This window comes from Homo sapiens, chromosome 19 (assembly GCF_000001405.40).
Source record: "Homo sapiens chromosome 19, GRCh38.p14 Primary Assembly".
NCBI classification, from domain to species: domain Eukaryota; kingdom Metazoa; phylum Chordata; class Mammalia; order Primates; family Hominidae; genus Homo; species Homo sapiens.
In genome coordinates this window covers 22,763,473-22,784,899 of record NC_000019.10, presented here as the reverse complement: position 1 = coordinate 22,784,899, position 21,427 = coordinate 22,763,473, and the positions used below count along the sequence as shown (strand labels likewise).

The following is a 21,427-nucleotide window of genomic DNA, read 5'->3' as shown; positions in this document are numbered from 1 at the left end:
AGAAAATTTAAAATACAATTTTATTTCAGAGGATTGCCTTCTTTTTAAAACCTCAGGCAATCTGATGAAAAAACCAGAAGCCAGGAAGGTCATAAACTCTGAAAATTTTAGATAATTGTTATATTCTTTTCATTTGTGAATAACCATATAATATATTATTTATAAAAGAATGTGACCTTATACAAAAGGTTAAATGCAAATACCCTCTGGGGTTGGCCTGGCTCAGTTCAGGAAGGAAGCCCTGCCTGAAAAGGCTGCAGCCTAGACTGTCATCCTTTCCTTTCTTTTTCTTTTCTTTTCTTTTTTTCGTGACAGAATCTCGCTCTGTCATCCAGGCTGGAGTGCACTGGCGCGATCTCGGCTCACTGCAACCTCCGCCTCCTGAGTTTAAGCAATTCTCGTGCCTCAGCCTCCGGAGTAGCTGGGATTACAGGCGCCCGCCACCACACCAGCCTAATTTTTATTTTTAGTAGAGACCGGGTTTTGCCATGTTGGCCAGGCTGGTCTCCAACTCCTGACCTCTGGTGATTCACCCGCCTCGGCCACCCAAAGTGCTGGGATTACACGCGTGAGCCACCGCGCCCGGCCCGTCACTCTTCATTCAGCTCAGCATCAGATCACATCTTCTGTCACTCAGGGCCTGAGGAGGCGGGGATTTAAACATTATCCAATCAGGGACTCTGGGCTGGGAACCGTCCAATCAGGCACTCAGCTGGAGCGGAAAGGGCGGCTTGTGGGATGTGGCGGGGCCGTTGTTTCTGGTTCCAGCTGGAGCTCCGGATCTCGTTTTTACTGCTCTGTGTCCTTAGCCTCTGTGGCCCTGTGACCTGTAGGTATTTGGAGATCCACAGCTAGGACGCCAGGACCCCCTGGAAGCTTAGAAATGGTGAGAGTGCCGGGTCCGATATCCTGAGAAGGGGAAGGGGCTGACTGGAACCGGTGGAAAGTGGCTGTGGCGGGACTCAGGCCTCCCCTCAGTGAGCTCCACAGTCTGCGCCCCGAGCTCTTGCCCAGCTCGGCCTCAGTCTCCTTCAGCCATAAGATGGCGGCTGCGCTGACTGCGGGACCCCGGGCGACCTGCCTCCTTCCTGCACTGTGACTATGCCCTGGCCTGGAGCCCTCTCTGGGCCGCTCTTCACCCGCAGCGCCTCCTCTCTCACAGATTGTGCAGGGACCACGGGAGGGGCGTCAGGGGAGAATCCTGACTCCGGGTGCGGGTTCATGAATGGGAAGAGCTTTGGTCCAGTGAGGTTTCCAGTCCCTCTTTTCTCCTATTAAAAATTGATGGCAGTCATCACTAAAGTAATAAAGGATTTAATCAAAGAGTGATTCAAAAATGGCAGAGCACCCAGCTGTGGTTTGTAGTTTATGGTCTATGGAAGGGATTTGACGGAAAGAGTTTTATAAGGTGCATAATGAAGAAAACCAAATTCAGTAATGGGTTATGTACAGTTACGTAGATTCTTAATTTGTACAATCAAGATGGAAATTTCCCGTTTATATAATCAGAGGTTAATTGTAGTTTATAGTTGGTTAAGCCTGAATTTTGTTTCCCCCAATGTAGTAATTTACAAAAAAAAAAGCACTTGAATTATTAATATTTTTTTCTTTCTTTTTTTGAAACGGAGTTTTGTTCTTGTTGCCCAGGCTGGAGTGCAGTGGCGCGATCTCGGCTCAACGCAACTTCCGCCTCCCAGGTTCAAGCGATTCTCCTGCCTCAGCCTCCCGAGTAGCTGGGATTACAGGCATCCGCCACCACACCCGGCTAATTTTTGTGTTTTTAGTAGAGACGAGGTTTCTCCGTTTTGGTCAGGCTGGTCTCGAACTCCCGACGTCAGGTGATCTGCCCTCCTCCGCCTCCCAGAGTGCTGGGATCACAGACATGAGCCACCGCGTCCGGCCGAATTAGATTTTTTAAAAAGTAGATTATCAGGCCTGGCTCGGTGGCTTACACCTGTAATCCCAGCACTTTGGGAGGCCGAGGCGGGTGAATCACGAAGTCAGGAGTTCTAGACCAGCCTGGCTAACATGGTAAAACTCCGTCTCTAATAAAAATACAAAAATTAGCCGGGAGTGTGGCAGATGCCTGTAATCCCAGTTTCTCGGGAGGCTGAGGCAGATAATCGCTTGAACCCGGGAGGCAGAGGTTGCTGTGAGCTGAGATTGCGCCACTGCACACCAGCCTGGGCAAGAGAGGGAGACTCCCTCTCATATTAAAAAAAAAAAAAAAAAAAAAAAGGCCAGGTGCGGTGGTTCATGCCTGTAATCCCAGCACTTTGGGAAGCCGAGGCAGGCGGATCACCTGAGGTCGGGAGTTCAAGACCAGCCTGACCAACATGGAGAAACCCCATCTCTACTAAAAATACAAAAATTAGCCAGGTGTGGTGGCACATGCCTGTACCTGTAATCCTAGCTACTCGTGGGGCTGAGGCAGGAGAATTGCTTGAACCCGGGAGATAGAGGTTGCGGTGAGCCGAGATCGCGCCATTGCAGTCCATTCTGGGCAACAAGACCGAAACTGTCTTAAAAAAAAAGAAAAAAAAAAGTAGATATCAGGCACTAGAGCCACCTCAGTCTATTTGCCTGCCACTTAATTATTTTTAATTATTTTCACACTCCTCAGATGACTGATTTTCCCCTCCATTTTTTACAGGTATCTCAAGCAGAGTATTATGTCTACTCCCAAACCCCAATTCCTGCAGCCTAACTCTGGCTTGCAATAAAATACTAAACTTCCAGTTCATAATGTCAATTTTCCCTCTCTGATTCACATTACTATTTGTCCTTAGTGTACATTTTGATACTGTATTTTATTTTTTAACAAAGCATTGGATGGTACTTTTCATAATATTTGTTTTCTGTTTGTGAATATTTCCTAAGAGAAGAAAGCAAAAAATAATCCCCTGACACTGTGTTGTAAAAAATCTTTGTGCCGCTTTTTTTTTTTCCTCCTTGCTCCACAGATTTTAGCAGAATGTTTTGGGGTAAAGGTAAAGGTTTTCCTTTGGAAACTTTATGATGTGTTTTCAGCCATTCTTCAGTTTTTTCCCTGGTCCTGGGTTTCAGTACTGTCTGGGAATTAGCTAAAATATTCCCCATGGCTATGTCTGCTAGAGTGTCTAGTGAATATCAGCTCCTGGTCATTTTCTCCAGTAGGACAACCTGAGGTGTGGAGTGTAGCCTTTCAACGAAGAAGGCAGATGCCCTGGGGTTGAGAGGTCTCTCCTGGTATACTCTTCCTTTGAAAAGCTAACCCTTGAGACATTAAGATTGTCTTCACCCAACCCAGCTTCCATTTTTTGAAGACACATTGCTGGTCAGCCAATCAGATGCTGGTATTGCGGGGAAAACACAGAAATAATTTCTGCCCCCTGCATTCTTTAAGGGAGCAGAACAATAGTGAAATATAATGAAAAAATAGTGAAAGAAAAATAGTGAGAATCTGTGAAATCAAAAATAGTGTCCCAAACGACAAAAAAAAAAAAAAAAAAAAAAAGTGACCCCAATGAGATGGTGTAAGAACTTGAAAAGTTCTTACCTGGGGCACTCACTGGGGCATAGTTCAGAGTCTCCTGAGAAGGAGTTATTGGGCACTTAAGTGAGGAGAATGGGGTGGGAGAATCTCTTAAGTGATTGGATGGCCTGACTTGACACATGAATCAGACACATCTGTACCTTGAAAAGATTTGTTCACTTATTTTGACCTCAGTTTTTTAACTGTAAATTGCATTTTGTTAGTAGGGATTGAAAGGTAAGAAAATACTTAACCAAGGGCAAAAAAGAGATGGGTTTCAGAATAAAATTAATATTGAATTGTATATTCCATTTGTTAAAAATTTTCATTTACCTTTTTCCCAGAATGACTTTAGGAATTTTCTCTGGTGTGTTTTTTATGGTTGGGTGATTTTAAACAGAATTTCAAGGCTTGACTTTTCAAATGCTACCAAGGAAGAAAAATAGGGAAAATCTCTCTTCCATTTTGGCTTTAGAAAATGCACATATTTCCACAAGAAAAGGTGGTAATTGGTGAGTTCCTTAGATTCATGAAAACATCAGTTCCTCCTTTTGCAGGGTAAATTTGTAACAGTGACTATCTCTATTCTGTATCCTATTACTTTGCTATCTGAGTTTCATGCTGAAACTTTGTACCTTCTAGAAATGTTTCCATATGACTAATTGTTTGCTACATGATTTTTTTTTTTTTTTTTGAAACAGAGTTTCATTCTTGTTGCCCAGGCTGGAGTGCAATGGCACGATCTTGGCTGACTGTAACCTCTGCCTCCCGGGTTCAAGTGATTCTCCTGCCTCAGCCTCCCGAGTAGCTGGGATTACAGATATGTGCCACCACGCCGCTAATTTTGTATTTTTAGTAGAGACGGGGGTTTCTCCATGTTGGCCATGCTGGTCTCGAACTCCCAACCTCAGGTGATCCGCCCGCCTCAGCCTCCCAAAGTGCTGGGATTACAGGCATGAGCCACCACGCCTGGCCTACTACATGATTTTTAATGGAAATAGTAAAATAATACATTTATTGTCTGAAAAGAATAGATACTTTTGTTTCTCTTATTGAGATATAAAGTGTAAGCACCTTAAAATTTCCTTCCCTTATATGAACACTGTGTTAGAGTAATTGCACTGAATTTTTCGAACACTTACTTTCAAAAACCAAGGGAATAACTCTGACATGAAGATTAAAGCCTGAGCCCAGTGACTCTAAGCTAAGGCTAATACTGAGCCTGCAAAAGGAGGTTATTAAAGGATCAGTTAGTTTTTTCTGGGGAGTCTTCTCTGCAGATATCCCAGCCTGCTCACCCCAGTCATGGAAGGAGACTTTATCCTGAGGGAAGCCACAGAACCCTGGAAAGCTGGGGACCCACAGGCAGATGCAGTTAAGGTTAAGATGAAAGGGGATTGGGAGGGTCTTACTGAAGATGAAATTGTTATTGTTTTGAGATAGTTTCTAGACTTTGTAAAATAAAACGAAGTTAGATTTATGTTGAAAAAAGAATTGAATTCCAAAAGGGTATTGCAACAGGAGGAAATACCAACTATAAGATCTTTAAGGATTGCTAAGTTTAGGCAGACAAGGGCCTTGTTTCATATGGAAGAGCAAACCATATTAGAGAGGAGGTCGGAGGGGATGGCGAATGGAGGGTGAAAGAAAGAGATTTTAGATCAGAGAATGTTTTACACTGAAGTCATCATGTACTTAGGAACTACATAAAAATAAGGTTGTATGTTGACTCAGACTGAGGGTAGCTCAAAGTTCAGAAGCCTGTTTAAATAAGTAATGTTTGATTAAGAAATATTTTAGGTTGACCACTGAAAACAAACTCAGCTGATTTATTTATTTATTTTTATTATTATTATTTTTTGAGACAGAGTCTCACTCTGTTGCTGAGGCTGGAGTGCAGTGGCACGATCTTGACTCAACTGCAACCTCCGCCTCCCGGGTTCAAGCTATTCTCCTGCCTTAGCCTCCTGAGGAGCTGGGACTACAGGCATCTGCCATCATGCCTGGCTAATTTTTGTGTTTTTAGTAGAGACCGTGTTTCACCATATTGGCCAAGCTGGTCTCGAACTCCTGACCTTTTGATCCGCCTGCCTCAGCCTCCCAAAGTGCTAGGATTACACGCATGAGCTACCGCGCCCGGCCCGATTTATTTATTTATTTTTTAATGAGAAAAAGGAGACAATGTGCAGAGTCTGTGTCTGGCTATGTGATAGGTAAGAAAAGAGAGCACCATCGAAGTCATAATGGGAAGGGTGTTTCTTTCCAGAAACTGTTCCTGGAGCACACAAAGGATAGAGAATTTTATTAATCACAGCTATTTACCAGGATTATCTATATGCTTTATCTTTCCCCACCTCTTTTCTTTCTTTTTTTTTTTTGAGATAGAGTTTTGCTCTTGTTGCCCAGGCTTGAGTGCAATGGCACAATCTTGGCTCACCACAACCTCCACTTCCTGGGTTGGAGCGATTCTCCTGCCTCAGCCTCCTGAGTAGCTGGGATTACAGGCAGGCACCACCACGCCCAGCTAATTTTTTTGTATTTTTAGTAGAGACGAGGTTTCTTCATGTTGTTCAGGCCAGTCTTGAACTCACAACCTCAGGTGATCGCCCACCTTGGCCTCCCAAAGTGCTGGGATTACAGGTGTGAGCCACCGTGCTCAGCCTCCCCACATCTTTTCTTTGTCCTATACATTTCTTCCATTTGACTTTTCCTGGATTGTATCTTTTCTAATAAACTGATAAATGTAACTACAGTGTTTTCCTGAGTTCTGTGACTAGCTCTATAAAATTATTGAATTTGAGGAATGTTATGAGAGTCCCCAGTTTTTAAACAGTAGCTCAGAAGCAAAGATGGGCCCATGGGGTTTGTGACTGGCTTTTTCAGTAAGAACAATGTTGTGAGACTGAGCCCTGAATCAGGGTGTGTGCTGACTCTGGGTGGTGTCAGAATTCAGTGAGTTGGTGTTGGAGAATGTCAGACAGTGAGTTGGTGTGGGAGAATTGCTTGGTGTTTAGCAAACTCTACAAATTTGGTTCCAGCTGAGAGATATCACAGAGGCCTGGTCTGGAATGGATCTCTGGGTGTCTAGGAATGGGAGGCTCTGCTTTTCTGTACACAGGCCATCACACTGCCCATTACCCTGTGATTTCAGGTCTCCTCCCAGGGTGAGAGAGGATAAAAAAGAGGAAAAAAGTTCTAATAACAGACCGCCTTTTTCTTTTTTTTTTTAATTTAAGTTCTAGGATACATGTGCACAACATGCAGGTTTGTTACATATGTATACATGTGCCATGTTGGTGTGCTGCACCCGTTAACTCATCATTTACGTTAGGTATTTCTCCTAATGCTATCCCTCCCCCCTCCCCCCACCCCACGACAGGCCCTGGTGTGTGATGTTCCCCACCCTGTGTCCAAGTGTTCTCATTATTCAATTCCCACCTATGAGTGAGAATATGCGAACAGACCGCCTTTTTCCACTGCTGCCATCACAGGATTCCCACCTTCTTACAAGCATATCCACTGGACACTGGCTTATCCACACCCCTCTTAGAACTAGTTACCACCCTCAGGAATTTCACTACAGCATTTTTGATCCTAGTGTTTCCTGCCAAATCTCACTCAAGTGTCTACAAGTCTCCTGGCATATCCCAACCCCAGACACTGAATCTGCAGCAGCAACATGTTTTTTCCACCAACATGAGGTTCTGGACAACCTGTTCATAATATCATCTGCCAGCATGAACCCAAAAATTAATCAGAGTAGAGCCGTACCTGGGCCACTATCTGTAGCACAAACCAGTCCTTCCACCTGCATTGCACTCTCTTTCACCCATAGAGTTTTTTTGTTTTAACTTTTATTTTTGATTCAGGAGTACATGTGTAGGTTTGTTACATAGAGGAAATTGTGTCGGGAGTTGGTGTGCAGATTATTTTGTCACTGAGGTATTAAGCACAGCACCACACAGGTATTATTTTTCTGATCCTCTTTGTCCTCCACCCTTAACTAGAAGGGTGTGTGTTGTTCCCCTCTTTGTGTTCTCATTATTTAGCTCTTACTAATAAATGAGAGCATGCATTTGGTTTTCTCTTTCTGCATTAGTTTTCTAAGGATAATGGTCTCCAGCTCCATCTATGTTGCTGCAAATGACATAATCTTGTTCACTTTTTATGGCAATGCAGTATTCCATGATGTTTATATACCATGTTTTGTTTTTGCTAAATACTTTATTTTATTTTTTGAAAATGGGTCTCTGTCACCCAGGCTGGAGTACAGTGACATGATCTTGGCTTATTGCAGCCTCAAATTCCCGGGCTCAAACAGTTCTTCTACCTCAGCCCCCTAACTAGCTGGGACTACAGGTGTGTGCCACCAAGCCCAGCTAATTTTTCTTCCTGTATTTTTTGTTGACATAGGGTTTTGCCATGTTGTTTAGGGTGGTCTTGAACTCCTGAGCTCAGGCAATTTACCTGCCTCAGCCTCCCAGAGTGCTGGAACTACAGGCATGAGCCACCAAACCTTACCTGTACCATATTTTCTTTATCCAGTTTACCATTGATAGGCATTTCGGTTGATTCCATGTCTTTGCTATTGTGAATAGTGCTTCAGTGAACATGCATGTGCATGTGTCTTTATGACAGAATAATTTTTATTTCTTTGGGTATATACCCAATTATGAGGTTGCCGGGTCAAATGGTAATTCTGCTTTTAGTTCTGTGAGGAATCGCCACACTGCTTTTCACAATGGTTGAACTAATTTACACTCCTAGCAGCAGCGCATACGCTTTTCTCTGCAACTGCCAGCATCTGTTATTTTTTGACTTTGTAGTAATAGCCATTTTGACTGATATGAGATGGTATATCATTGTGGTTTTTCTTTGCTTTTCTGTAGTGATGAGTATTTTTTTCATAGGCTTGTTAGCCATATATATATATATATATATATATATATATATATATATATATATATATATATATATCTTATTTTGGAAAAAGTTTGCTCATGTTTTTTGTTTACTTTTTTTTTTTTTTTTAATTGAGATGAAGCCTCACTCTGTCACCCAAGCTAAAGCGCAGTGGCATAATCTCAGCACACTACAACCTTCGCCTCCTGGGTTCAAGTGATTCTCCTGCCTCAGCCTCCTGAGTGGATGGAATTATAGGCGCCTGCCACCACACCCAGCTAATTTTTTTATTTTTAGTAGAGATGAGGTTTAACCATGTTGGCCAGGCTGGTCTCAAACTCCTGATCTCAAGTGATCTTCCCTCCTTGGCCTCCCAAGATGCTGGGATTACAGGCGTGAGCCTTTAATCTTACTCTTAGCCTTTTGTCTACTAGGTTTTTGTTATGTTTTGTTTTGTTTTTGAGGTGGAGTTTCACTCTTGTTGCCTAGGCTCGAGTGCAGTGGCACAGTCTCGGCACACTGCAACCTCTGCCTCCCGGGTTCAAGAGATTCTCCTACCTCAGCCTCCCGAGAAGCTGAGATTACAGGTGCCTACCACCACGCCCAGCTAATTGTGTTTTTAGTAAAGACTGGGTTTCACCCTCTTGGCCAGGCTGGTCTCGAACTCCTGACCTCAGGTGATCCACCCGCCTCAGCCTCCCAGAGTGCTGGGATTACAGGCATGAGCCACCGCGCCTGGCTGCGTTTTGTTTACTTTTAAGGAGGTTGTTTGTTTCTTGTAAACTTCAGTTTTTTATGGATTCTAGATACTAGACCTTTGTCAAAAGCATAGTTTGCAAATATTTTCTTTTATTCTGTAGGTTGTGTGTTTACTCTGTTGATGATTTCCTTGCTGTGAAGAAGATATTTAATTTAATTAGGTCCCATTTGTCAGTTTTTACTTCTGTTGCAGTTGCTTTTGGTAATTTCATCATAAAATCTTAGTTAGTTCCCATGTGTAAAATGGTATTTTCTAGGTTATCTTCAAGGGTTTCTTATAATTTCAAGTTTTACATTTAAGGCTTTAATTCATCTTGAGTTGATTTTTGTATATGATGTAAGGAAGGGGTCCAGTTTCAATTTTCTACATACTGCTAGGTGGTTTCCCAGTACCATTTATTAAATAGGGATTTCTTCCCACATTCCTCTTATTAGTTTTGTCAAAGATCAGGTGGTTTTAGGTCTGTGGCATTATTTCTGGGCTCTCTATTCTGTTGCATTGTTCTATAAGTCTGTTTCTTGTACCAGTATTATGTGGCTTTGGTTACTGTAGCCCTGTTGCATAGTTTGAAGTCAGGTAATGTAATGCCTCCAGCTTTGTTCTTTTTGCTTAGGATTGCCTTGGCTACTCAGGCTCTTTTATGGTTCCATATGAATTTTAAAATAGTTTTTTATAGTTCTGTTAAAAATGTTTTTGGTAGTTTGATAAGAATAGCATTAAATCTGTTCCGTTTTTGGGTAGTATGGCCATTTTAATGATTTTGATCTTTTCTACCTATGAGCATAAAATGGTTTTCCATTTATTTGTGTTATCTCTGACTTTTGTTTTCTTTTTCTTTTCTTTTTTTTAATTTTGAGTCAGATCCTCGCTCTGTCGCCCAGGCTGGAGTGCAATGGCACAATCTCGGCTCACTGCAACCTCTGTCTTCCGGGTTCAAGCTATTCTCCTGCCTCAGCCTCCTGAATAGCTGAGATTACAGGCGCCCACCACCATGCCCAGCTCATTTTTGTATTTTTAGTAGAGATGGGGTTTCACCATGTTGGCCAGGCTGGTCTCCAACTCCTGACCTCAAATGATCTACCCACCTCGGCCTCCCAAAGTGCTGGGATTACAGATGTGAGCCACTGTGCCTGGCCTGTTAATAGTGTCTTTCATTTCACTAAATCGGAATGCTGCTATTACAGGACAAATAAACACAGATGATGTGGCCACCCAAAAACCATAATAGCTCTTTAGTTAGCTATGTGGCAAGCTTAAATATATTCCAGTATATGAACAAAGTCAGATTATAAATCTTCATCAAAAAGTGCTGGTGGAAATTGTGAGATGTATTTCAATATGGAACCCCCATTCAATGGCTAGGAGATGAGAGAGCAGCAGAGATGGAAGAGAAACCTTCTAAAATTCTGCTGAGAATATGCCCCTTTTCTTCGTAATGCTCATGTTTCTCATGCTGAGAGTAGTTGTGTATTTTGCTTGTTGAGAGAGAAATTCTTTTTAAGATAGTATTTTCTGGCTGACTTGATCAATCTTACGTCTAAACTGAGTTTTTACCTAAGATGGTTTTAACTTCTTTTTTCCTCTCAGCATAATCTTGCTCAGACTGAGAGCTGTTTTTCTGTCCAGTGCTTTGGGTGTCTGCATTGTAAGTATTCCCTGGTGTCTGTAAAAGAGGTGGGCTGTCACAGTGGGAACTTTTGGAGCTATCTCTGTCTGGACTCATGTTGGAAATCCAGCAGTGGTTTTTCCATGTCACCATTGTAAATAAAAACTGAGGCTGAATTACTGTTCCAATTTCCATTAATGTGAAGGTGCAGTTCTCCCCAGGAGGCCTGCAGGCTTTTCTCCTGCAGCTCAGGCTTCCCTCTCTGAGGTGTCACTGGAGTGCTGCTGTGGCAGTTGTGGTTTATGTAAGATGTGAGCTTTCAGCTGTGAGCTCTGCCTCAATGGCAGATGGTAGGGGTCAAGAGAGGACACCAGCTAACAGGAGAGTGCAAGCGGGAGAGGAGTAGCCCCAGTGCTCAGGGAGTAGAGAGCCATTGCTTTAAAATATAAATAGCCAAAAAGATAGCACCCTATTCAACCATTTTTGTAGGAGATTGAGAGCCTACCTTCAGCAGGCACCTGGCTTCAAGTTGCAAAATTACCTCCTTTCATGAAGATATGAAAAGTTTATTTTGTCATTGAACATAACTGATTAGCCTACATGGCTAGCCTTTTCAATTACCAGGTGAATTTAGGAATAACTATGTATGACATGGTGCTATAAATTTTCTACTTGTTAACTAATTAAGGTGACCATCCTTTTGTCTTTGCAGTCTCTTAAGCAGACTGACTGTGATGCATGTCACGTTCAGGTTTAATTGTGTAATACAACAGTTTTATGTCTGTTCTATTATTGTGGAGTTTCTCCGGGGCTGAAGAAAATTTGTCTTTTATGTTTCACAAAAACTCTAGAATTATCAGACATGTTACAAAAATATAAGGTGCCACCCAAGCTTTAAGCTAGAGGAAACTTTCCCTCTCAGGCTATCATTCAACTCACAATTGTGCTGCAAAGTGCATGCTGTCCCCTAAATATGCAGGCAGAATTGTTTCTCTGCCAATTTGGTATCTATAGTCCTCCACAGTAACTTTTAGAGAGGCTAGATCAGAATTCTACAAACTTCACAGGGCAGCAAACAGCCGTTTTACCTTTTTCAGTGACTCTTGTATCTTCACATCTGAAACTGATTCACAGACCATGGGGCCCAGAAACCCAGTCACAGTAACATGTGTGCATTGAGTAGACATGTACACATGGGAATCTCTACTTCCTTTTTCTTCCTCTTGTTAAAATGCCCACAGATGTGCAGGGAACACCTGCTGCTACTCCATCCATTCAGGACCTAAAACTGCAACTTCAAATTCTGAATCCAGGTTTTCAGATTTGAGAAAAAAGAAAAACTTTCTTTCTGAGAGATGCAAGTCCTTTTAGTTGTCAAACTTATAGAGACACTAAAATGAGAGTAGAATTCTCTTTCTCTCTGTCTTTTTTTTTTTTTTTGAGACAGAATTTCGTTCTTGTTGCCCAGGCTGGAGTGCAATGGCACCATCTCGGCTCACCGCAACCCCTGCCTCCCGGGTTCAGGTGATTCTCCTGCCTCAGCCTCCCGAATAGCTGGGATTACAGGCATGCCCCACCATGCCAGGCTAATTTTGTATTTTAGTAGAGATAGGGTTTCTCCATGTTTGTCAGGCTGATCTTGAGTTCCCAACCTCAGGTGATCTGCCCGCCTCCCAAAGTGCTGGGATTATAGGCGCAAGCCACCGTACCCGACCTTCTTTTTGTTTTTTGCACTATGTATTCATCTTTTGAAGCTGTTCACTATTGCCACAAGTAGCTATATATTAATAATGCCACACTGGACACTATAACTTGTACCTAAAAACTAATGGTGTATATCCAATCAATAATCAATGTTATTCCTGTAAATAAATAAAAATTTCTGACAGACAACTTTGTATCAACTCACTCTCTGTCCATCTTTTTTAGCCTTTACAAATCAACTTGTAATCACACTGCTAATCAAGTATATATTTCAGGCAACTTGAATATTTGCTCCCAGGTTACAGTCCTCAAGCTTGGCCCAAATAAACGGTCAACTTATATCTATGTTTCCTCAGATTTTTCCTAGGTAGACATATTATTTAGAATGTGCCAGAGCAGGCTGGGCGCGGTGGCTCACGCCTGTGATCCCAGCACTTTGGGAGGCCGAGGCGGGCGGATCACAAGGTCAGGAGTTCGAGACCAGCCTGGCCAATATGGTGAAACCCTGTCTCTACTAAAAATACAAAAATTAGCCGGGCGTGGTGGCACACGCCTGTAATCCCAGCTACTCAGGAGGCTGAGGCAGGAGAATCGCTTGAACCCGGGAGGCAGAGGTTGCAGTGAGCCGAGATGGTGCCATTGCACTCCAGCCTGGGTGACAGAGCAAGACTCCGTCTCAAAAAAAAAAAAAAAAAAAAAGTTTCACCTGTGGTTGTTGAATAGGGGAAGGTGTGGATACTCAAGATTCCTATTGGGGAAAAGCTGGGGTCCTTACGGAAAAAGTAGAACATGTAATGTTGAGGCTCCATCTGTGTTCTCCATTAGCTCTATGCAGAACAGCTTTAAGAAAATGCTTTTTAGCTGGGCCCGGTGGCTCACGCCTGTAATCCCAGCACTTTGGGAGGCCAAGGCAGGCGGATCACGAGGTCAGGAGATCGAGACCATCCTGGCTAACACGGTGAAACCCTGTCTCTACTAAAAATACAAAAAATTAGCCGGGCGTGGTGGCGGGCACCTGTAGTCCCAGCTACTCGGGAGGCTGAGGTAGGAGAATGGCGTGAATCCGTGAGGCCGAGCTTGCAGTGAGCGGAGATCAGGCTGCTACACTCCAGCCTGGGCGACAGAGCAAGACTCTGCCTCAAAAAAAAAAAAAAAAAAAAAAAAAAAGAAAATGCTTTTTAAAGGCAAGTTGCAGTGGCTCACACCTGTAACCCCAGCACTTTAAGGCGGGTGGATCACCTGAGATTAGGAGTTCGAGACCAGCCTGGCCAGCACGGTGAAACCCCGTCTATACTAAAAATACAAAAAATACCTAGGCGTGGTGTGGGGCACCTGTAATCTCAGCTACTCGGGAGGCTGAGGCAGGAGAATCGCTTGAACCCGGGAGGTGGAGGTTGCAGTGAGCTGAGATCGCACCATTGCACTCCCGCCTGGGCAACAGAGTGAGACTCCATCTCAAAAAAAAAAAAAAAGTTCTGAAAAAAATGGTTAGGAGATACCTGCTCTCTAGTGTGCTAAAGAAAGTCTGCTTAAAATGGCTATTAAAAGTTACAAAAAATGGGAGTTATCTGTGTCTTGACATTTGCATAAACTGATGTTTCTTTATGGTTAAATTCAGATTATAATTTACTTTGGGGGAGCAATATCACAGCAGTAATGCTGTGTCCTTCTGTGTGCCCTTCTGTGTGCATCAGCACATCATAAAAATTTGTCCTACTGCAGTTGATGTTAATGATTGACTTGATTAAAGTGCTGTCTGAGCTGTGCGCGGTGGCTTATGCCTGTAATCCCAGCACTTTGGGAGGCCGAGGTGGGTGGATCACAAGGTCAGGAGTTTGAAGCCAGCCTGGCCAAGATGGTGAAACCCTGTCTCTACTAAAAATACAAACATTAGCTGCGCGTGGTGGCACGCGCCTGTAGTCCCAGCTACCCGGGAGGCTGAGGCAGGAGAATCGCTTGAACCCAGGAGGCGAAGGTTGCAGTGAGTCGAGATCGCGCCACTGCACTCCAGCCTTGGTGACAAGAGAGAAACTCTGTCTAAAAAAAAAAAAAGCTGTCTGACAGGTTTTTTCAGTATAGAGTTAACTATTTTTCTCCTCGTTATTAAGTATCTTTATGTAGCTGATGTGCACCAATGATCACATTTAATCTGGCACCTGCCTTTCTTAGATTTTCTCTGCATATATCTATCTTTGGAAAATGAGGGCTCTCGTCTTTGTTTATAGGGCAGAAAAACTGGGAAAAATACAGGCTCCTCCACTTGCTGAATATTTAACAAAAGATTCTTTTGGGGCCAAAAACAGGCATTACTGGTGAGCTTGTCAAATTCAGAAACTCAGACTTTATTCCAGATCTTATAAAATAAATATGCTTAACAAGATCTCCAGTTAATTGTACACATTAAAATTTGAGAGGTGTCTTCTAACTCAACATGTCTTTTTGGTCTGAAAAATGTACAAGACTTATTCTGTATGATTTAAAAATAGCACTCAAAAATGTACATGTTATCATGCCCTTAATTTTATACTTTATTATCCAGAAAAGTATCTTGTCTGTGCTGGTGTTGTGGATCTTCTGCCATTCTTTTTTTCTCAGAGTTTGAGAATACATTAGAGAATATTTCTTTTTTTCTTTTCTTTATTTTTTTTTTTTTGAGACAGAGTCTAGCTCTGTCGCCCAGGCTGGAGTGCAGCAATCTCAGCTCACTGCAAGCTCTGCCTCCCGGGTTCATGCCATTCTCCTGCCTCAGCCTCCCAAGTAGCTGGGGCTACAGGCACCCACCACCATGCCGGCTAATTTTTTGTATTTTTAGTAGAGACGGGGTTTCACCGTGTTAGCCAGGATGGTCTCAATCTCCTGACTTCGTGATCTTCCTGCCTTGGCCTCCCAAAGTGCTGGGATTACAGGCATGAGCCACTGCGCCCAGCCGAGACGATTTCTGTGTTGAAAATTATTTTACTGAATACGTTCAGTCATCCCTGTAAGTTAGAACCTGTTCTCTTTACTCTCTCATTTCACCTTGAGTCAAATTAAAAATTCTGTCCATGGCCAATTGGGAAATCTATATGTATCTTTGTTGTGTTTTTCAGGGATCGTTGACATTTTGGGATGTGACCATAGAATTCGCTCTGGAGGAGTGGCAATGCCTGGACATGGCTCAGCAGAATTTATATAGGAATGTTATGTTAGAGAACTACAGAAACCTGGTCTTCCTGGGTGAGGATGATTTTAATTAAGCAATTCCTATTATATTCTATAGGTTTCATTTCTCTTTTCTGTAGGATGTGTTTTGGTGATTTATGCTTAGCATAAATAAGTTTCAGATACCCGTTTTCTGAAAACAGGGATTTGAAAGTGTAGAAAAGAATTTTTTTTTTTTTTTTTGAAACAGAGTTTCGCTCTTGTTGCCCAGGCTGGAGTGCAATGGTGCGATCTCGGCTTACCACAACCTCCGCCTCCCAGGTTCAAGCAATTCTTCTGCCTCAGCCTCCTGAGTAGCTGGGATTACAGGCATGCACCACCACACCCGGCTAATTTTGTATTTTTAGCAGAGACGGGGTTTCTCCATGTTGAGGCTGGTCTTGAACTCCTGACCTCAGGTGATCCACCTGCCTCGGCCTCTCAAAGTGCTGGGATTATAGGTGTGAGCCACCATGCCCGGCCAGAAAGGAATTTTTTAAAGATGTTTAATTTTTACCTGAACTTTCCACATTTCTAAGCAGATCTGCATTTTTCACTCTAGATTAGTGAAAATTGAAGAAATTTAGTGGCATAAAATGTAGTTGCCACACCTTGAAATCTCATTGCCACCACCAATATTTGATTCAGTAGTACCAGGTAGTAAAATTAAGGGACTGTACAAATTGAAAATATTTTCTAAATATTTAGAAATTTATGTTATAAATTAGTATTGAGGGATCAATTTACTAGAATATTCTATTACATTCTCTTTAATGAGCACATTATTTGGGGAATATGAGCAATATTTATGTTATTTATTTTTAATAAAACAGGTATCGCTGTCTCTAAGCTAGACTTGATAACTTGTCTGAAGCAAGGGAAAGAGCCTTGGAATATGAAGAGACATGAGATGGTAACTAAACCCCCAGGTATGTGAGAGTGAATACAAGAAACAACACAAATAAGAGGTCCAGAGGTCCAGGAGAAAGCCAGTTCTCAAAATGTGACCTGAGAAGCTGTGCTCCAAAGGAAGTAGTTTCTGGGAAGACTGAGATTTTTTAAAATTTTGCTCTCATGTAGGGCATCTTCTGTCTTATGCTTTAAAATTCTCTAAGGATTCTATTTTCGTTTTGGTAATTTCCCTTCAAGTTTACAGTGAGAGCCAAAGTTGTGTTCATGGCATATAAGGGACTGCACAATCTGACTGCTTTTCCATATTGGGGACACACAAATATCTGTATAGTTTTGAGAAACTATTTTTAAAAAACCTGGCTCTTTTACCTCACACTTGCTCTATCTCTTACCATGTGATATGTCCAGTTTCTCTTCGCTTTCCACTATGATCATAAGCTTCCTGAGAACACACCAGAAACAGATACCGGCATATACTTCTTGTACAGTCTGTTGAACTGTGAGCCAAATAAACTTTTCTGTTATAAATTATTTACTCTCAGATATTTCTCTGTATGTAAAATATTACAGTCCATAATGTTATCTACATTTTCTATTTTCTTAATCTTCTATATGAATTTTCTATTATTATTGAAAATGGGGTCTCAGTGTCTGCAACTGTTATGTTGCTATGTACTTCTTGCTTCACCTATGTCAATATTTATATATTTTGGAGGCCTGTTGTTATACCTACCTGTACATATAAATATAATAGTTATAGATTCCTGGTAAATTGACCCATTTTACTATTATATAATATCAATCTTTTTCTTGTACTAGTACTTGACTTAAAGCATATTGTGCCCAATATAATTACGACTACCTCACCCAATTGTGGCTACTATTTGCATGAAATATAGATTTTTTTAAATTCTGTTACTTACAGACTATTTGACTCAGTGCTAAAATTGGTCTCTTGTAGAGAACATATTGTATGCTTCTTTTCTTAAGCCACTCAGGCATCTTCTTTCTTTTCCTTTTAATTAATTAATTAATGAAATAGGGTCTCACTTCGTCAACCAGGCTGTTTTGCAATGGTGTAATCATGGCAGTGAACTGCAGCCTCAGCCTCTCAAACTCAGATAATCTTCTAGTTTCAACCTCTTAAGTAGCTGGGTTACAGGCCCATGCCATTAAACCCAGCTAGTTTTTTGGTTTTTTTTTTTTTTTTTTTTGGTAGAGACAGGGTTTTGCTTTGTTGCTCAGGCTGTTCTCAAACTCCTGGAATCAAGTTATCAGCCCACCTTGGCCTCCGAAAGTCCTGGAATTACATTTCTTTTTATTAAGTAGTTTGATAAATTTATATTTAAAATGATTTCTTAAAGAAAGTTACGCCAGGCATGGTGTCTCACGCCTGTAATTCCAGCACTTTGGGAGGCCGAGGTGGGCGGATCACCTGAGGTTGGGAGTTTGAGACCAGCCTGACCAACATGGAGAAACCCTATGTCTGCTAAAAATATAAAATTAGCCGGGCGTGGTGGCGCATGCCTGTAATCCCAGCTATTCGGGAGGCTGATGCAGGAGAATTGCTTGAACCCGGGAGGCGGAGGTTGTGGTAAGCCGAGATGGCGCCATTGCACTCCAGCCTGGACAACAACAGTGAAACTCCGACTCAAAAAAAAAAAAAGAAATAAGAAATAAAGTTATGCCGGGCACGGTGGCTCATGCCTGTAATCCCAGCACTTTGGGAGACCGAAGTGGGTGGATCACGAGGTCAGGAGTTTGAGACTAGCCTGGCCAACACAATGAAACCCCGTCTCTACTGAAAATACAAAAATTATCCAGGCATGGTGGCACGTGCCTGTAGTCCTAGCTGCTTGGGAGGCTGAGGCAGGAGAATCACTTGAACCCAGAGGCGTAGGTTGTGGTGAGCTGAGATCGTGCCACCGCACTCCACCCTGGGCAATAGAGCGAGACTCCATCTCAAAAAAAAAAAGAAAAGAAAAGAAATAAAGTTACATACCAGTTTCATTGTTATGTTTTATGTTTTTTTTTTTTTTACATATTTTGTCTCATTTCTTGTTTAACTATTTTTTGTTTAATTTTGTAGTGGCACACTTTGCTTATTTTTTTTATTTTGTTTTGCGTAGTTTCTATAAAATTTTTGTAGTTATGTTGAAAAATGGACATTATGTAAAACATCTTAAGATTAAATCAATGTGTTTTAATATCATAACAACTTAATTGAATACAAAAACTATATTTCTATATTTTCAAGTTTGTTATTAATATTACAAATTATTTTATATTGTGTATTCAGATTTATGCAGATTTATATTTTGTTTTTATATTCTATAGAAGAATTTTAAGGGTATTATGCCTATTATTATAGTAAGACATTTTATATGTGTCTGTATGTTTACATTTAATAGAAAGCTATATATTCATATACGGTTTTTTGATGCTGTCTAGCATCATTTTATTTTTCAACATAAAAGACTCATTTTAGCATTTCTCTTGTTATATATGCACAGTCTCACTCTGTTTTGGGGCTGATCTTGAACTCTTGGTCTCAAGTTTTCTGACTACCTTGGCCTCCTAAAGGTGTAGGATTACAGGCATGAGCCACTGTGCCTGGCCACCATGTAGCTTTTTTTTTTAACTGTGCTAGTGGTGATGAACACCCTTACCTTTCATTTTGGAAAGTCTTTATTTTTTATTGTTTTTTAAAGTAAAATAATTTCTGATCAAGTATTATGGATTAAGAATTTTTTTTATTACATCAAAATTTGGAAAGCTCTTTTTTTTCGTCTTCAAGTAACCTGTGTACTACTTTATTTTTTTTTATTTATTTTATTTTTTCATAAGTTATTGAGGTACAAGTGGTGTTTGGTTACATGAGTAAGTTCTTTAGTGGTGATTTGTGGGATTTTTGTGCACTCATCACCCGAGCTGTATACACTGCACTCTATTTGTGGTCTTTTATCCCTCGTTTTCCTCCCACTCTTCCCCCCAAGTCCCCAAAGTCCACTGTGTCATTCTTATGCCTTTGCATCCTCATAGCTTAACTCCCACATATCAGTGAGAACATACGATGTTTGGTTTTCCATTTCTGATTTACTTCACTTAGAAGGATAGCCTCTAATCTTATCCATGTTGCTGTGAATGCCATTAATTTATTCCATTTTATGGCTGAGTAGTGTTCCATTATATATATATCTCACAGTTTCTTTATCCACTCATTGGTTAATGGGCATTTGGGTTGGTTCCATGATTTTGCTGTTGTGAATTACGCTGCTATAAATGTGTGTGTAAGTATCTTTTTCATATAATGACTTCTTTTCCTCTGAGTAGATACCCAGTAGTGGGATTGCTGGATCAAATGGTAGTACAACTTTTAGTTCTTTAGGAATCTCCACACTGTTTTCCATAGTGGTTGTACTAGTTTACATTCCCACCAGCAGTGTAGAAGTGTTCCCTGATCACCACATCCACACCAACATCTGTTTTTTTATTTATTTATTTTTTATTATGGCCATTCTTGCATGAGTAAGGTGGTATCCTTTGGTGGTTTTGATTTGCATTTCCCTGGCCATTAGCAATATTGAGCATTTTTTCATATGTTTCTTGGCCATTTGTATATCTTCTGTTGAAAATTGTCTATTTGTGTCCTTAGCTCAGTTTTGATGGGATTTTTTTTTTTCTTGCTGATTTGTTTGAGTGCATTGTAGATTCAAGATATTACTTCTTTGTCAGGTGTATAGATTGTGAAGATTTTCTCCTACTCTGTGGGTTGTCTGTTCACTCTGGTGTTCCTTTTGCCATGCAAAAGCTCTTTAGTTTAATTAAGTCCCTGTTTTGACACTATTCCACAAGATAGAGAGAAAACCCTCCCTAATTTATGTTTGTTTTAATTGCATTTGCTTTTGGGTTCTTGATTATGAAATCCTTGTCTAAGCCAATGTCTAAAAGGGTTTTTCCAATGTTCTAGAATTTTTATACTTTCAGGTCTTAGATTTAAGTCCTTAATCCATCTTGTGTTGATTTTTGTATAAAGTAAAATATGAGGATCCAGTTTTATTCTCCTACATGTGGCTAGCCAATTATCCCAGCATCATTTGTTGAAAAGAGTCCCTGGCCAGGCGCGGTGGCTCATGCCTGTAATCCCAGCACTTTGGGAGGCTGAGACGGGTGGATCATGAGGTCAGGAGTTCAAGACCAGCCTGGCCAATGTGATGAAACCCCATCTCTACTAAAAATACAAAAATTAGCCAGGTGCAGTGGCAGGCACCTGTAATCCCAGCTACTTGGGAGGCTGAGGCAGGAGAATTGCTTGAACCCGGGAGGCAGAAGTTGTGGTGAGCCAAGATCACACCACTGCACTCCAGCCTGGGTGACAGAACAAGACTCCATCTCAAAAAAAAAAAAAAAAAAAAAAGGAAAGAAAAAAAAAAGAGTATCCTTTCCCTACTTTATGTTTTTGTTTGCTTTGTCGAAGTTCAGCTGGCTGTAATATTTGGGTTTATTTCTGGGTTCTCTATTCTGTTCCATTGGTTTATGTGCCTATTTTTATACCAGTACCATGCTGTTTTTGTGACTATGGCTTTATAGTATAGTTTGAAGTCAGGTAGTGTGATGCCTTCAGATTTGTTCTTTTTGCTTAGTCTTGCTTTGGCTATGCAGGCTCTTTTTTTGTTCCATATGGATTTTAGAATAATTTTTTCTAATTCTGTGAAGAATGACGGTGGTATTTTGATGGAAATTGCATTTAATTTGTAGATTGCTTTTGGCAGTGTGGTCATTTTCACAATATTGATTCTACCTATCCATGAACGTGGACTGTTTCCATTTGTTTGTGTCATCTGTGATT

General features: G+C 41.3%; 1 protein-coding gene and 1 pseudogene across 1 annotated transcript in view, besides 1 other annotated feature; one reads left to right on the top strand and one right to left on the bottom strand.

The window, feature by feature from the left end:
- Positions 1–748: 748 nt before the first annotated feature.
- Positions 749–21,427, top strand: part of ZNF99 (zinc finger protein 99) — a 31,969-nt gene continuing 11,290 nt past the window's right edge. Inside the window, exons 1-3 of the mRNA NM_001080409.3 lie at positions 749–886; positions 15,576–15,702; positions 16,500–16,595. Of these exons, the coding sequence (NP_001073878.2) occupies positions 884–886; positions 15,576–15,702; positions 16,500–16,595 (226 nt within the window). The 5' untranslated portion in view covers positions 749–883. The remainder of the gene's footprint in view (positions 887–15,575; positions 15,703–16,499; positions 16,596–21,427) is intronic.
- Positions 5,604–6,103: an enhancer, noted in NCBI's record as "H3K4me1 hESC enhancer chr19:22961599-22962098 (GRCh37/hg19 assembly coordinates)". NCBI's record gives its function as "activates a minimal SCP1, AML or CMV promoter by ChIP-STARR-seq in naive H9 embryonic stem cells {active_cell/tissue: H9 hESC(naive)}" and the evidence as "EXISTENCE:reporter gene assay evidence [ECO:0000049][PMID:30033119]".
- Positions 10,479–11,047, bottom strand: BNIP3P34 (BCL2 interacting protein 3 pseudogene 34; annotated as a pseudogene).